We start from the raw sequence: 2259 nt of genomic DNA, 5'->3' as shown, positions 1-2259 counted from the left end.
TTTTAGTGAGGGGCATGTGGCCCACCTGGAGCCAAGCAGAAACAATAAGATGTTTGCAGGGACTCTTGTGAAAGAGGCAATGCATTTTCAGCTGCATTTGCATCTAAGAGAATCTCACTCTGAGCTTGCTGGCAGATGTGCTTCCATTTATGAAACCTGCTGATGAAGAAATACAACAGAATAGAGCCAAGTTAGAGGGAAACTGAACCCCGAGAACATCATTTGAGCCTCTGCAACAACCTTGAGTCCCAAATGCAGCCCTCATCCCAGATTTGTCATTCACAGAGTCAATACTTATTTTCACTTTTGTTGTTTAAAGCAGTTGAATTAGGCCAGGCCCGGTGGCTCACGCCTGTAATCCCAGCACTTTGGGAGGCCGAGGTGGGTGGAACACGAGGTCAAGAGATCAAGACCATCCTGGCCACCATGGTGAAACCCTGTCTCTACTAAAAATACAAAAATTAGCCCGGCATGGTGGTGCACACCTGTAGTCCCAGTACTTGGGAGGCTGAGGCAGGAGAATTGCTTGAACCCAGGAGGTGGAGGTTGCAGTGGGCTGAGATCACACTACTGCACTCCAGCCTGGTGACAGAGCAAGACTTCATCAAAAAAACAGAAAAACAAAACAAAACAAAACAAAAAGCAGTTGAATTGTGTTTTTTTTTTTTCACTTGCATTCAAATAATAAAAAATGTCTTCTCCATTGCTGGCTCCTTCTATGCTAGCCTGCTAAATATATATTTACCTCTCTGTGACTCATTTTCTCTTCTGTTTAAAAAAGATAAATGGCACTTACTACCTCAAAGAGTTGTAAATATTAAATGATACAATAAATAGAAAAGCATAAATTTGTTTGACAATGCTGAGGTGAGAGAGCATATAAATTTTCAAAATTGAATTCTATCAGTCTCTACTATTTACTAGGATGAGAATACACCTCATACCAGACACCATTGTGGTAGTAAACTTTCTTTAGCAAAATATATGCCTCAGTAAAATACTTGGGAAGGATCTTCTGGTCTTTGTTCCATTATTGTTGCTACTGGGAATTCATAGTGCAAGCCATTTGGTCCACTAAAAGGTGAGTAACTTTACAGTCTCTGTACCGAATGTGGGCACCAGCCTCTTTTTCGTAGCCCTCAAAACTAGGATGATTATTTTGTCCTCCAGCAACTACTCCAGCGTACCCATCAGAAGTCCTGCTGTAACATTAGGCACTTCCATGCAGGACACTGATGCTTTTTAAGCCTATCTCCTCCACATTCCTTTCTTCAAGTCCCTGGAGCCCCTGATAAGCTTGGGCAACTTCTCCTCTTTCAACACACACCAATTTCAGCCTCATCTCCTGTTTCAGGAACACTTAGCTAAATTCTCCTCCCATATGAGAGCCTGGATAGGAATGCATAACAGGCATCTAGCCACTCATGCATTTTCATTGTCCTGACATTAGGCATGGAGTGTAGGGCTTGGCATTATATAACTCCAGAAATTCCTATTCCTGTTGAGTTAAAAGACACCAGCACCTCCTGAAGCGAACTTTGTACAAGGTGAATGATGGTCTCTCAGTTCCTGCCACACTGTGAGCTCTGATTATGAACATAAGGCATTTGAAAATGTTTCCAGTCAATATGTTCTCGTCTCCCCCACCATTATTTAGCCAATGAGCTTTTCTGTTTGTTTAGGCTCTTCTATTTTCCCATATGGGCAAGATTGGGGAAGGAGAGGAGAAACACAGTGTTGGAAGCAGAGCAAGACTGGGTGGTCTCTTTTGGACACTTCCCCCTCTCCATTTGGGGCAGGTCTCATACCAGGGCCCATGAGTATGGAAATCCAGCTTGACTGCTTCACTCCCTATGTGTTTATGGAGATATGCAAATATATGAGATCCAGGAATGCTTTCCATGTGACCCAAGGCCAGTCCCTGAGCTCATTCAAGCTACAAACTTCCCTTTTGTGAGAGTTTGTTGAGCCTCAGACACATGAAAGAGATCACTGGCAGGGCGTCTCATTCCCTTTCTCTAAGCCTTTTCCACCTAATGGGTGACTGAGTCTCTCTGAACTTCAGGTTGATATAATCAGATACAATGATGGATGTGCAGTATTATTAAGTAGATTATTAAAAGCAGAAATGAATTTCCCAGGGCTTTAGGCTTGCCCTCTAAGCTCACCTTACTGTATAGGAGCCAAAGTTTGCTTTTCTGGGACTGTGATCAAGAGCGTAGAATGGAGCCAGGATGAGCCACAGTCCCCCTAACTTCT

This window comes from Homo sapiens, chromosome 9 (genome assembly GCF_000001405.40).
Source record: "Homo sapiens chromosome 9, GRCh38.p14 Primary Assembly".
Classification (NCBI taxonomy): Eukaryota; Metazoa; Chordata; class Mammalia; order Primates; family Hominidae; genus Homo; species Homo sapiens.
Note: the sequence above shows the minus strand (reverse complement) of the source record.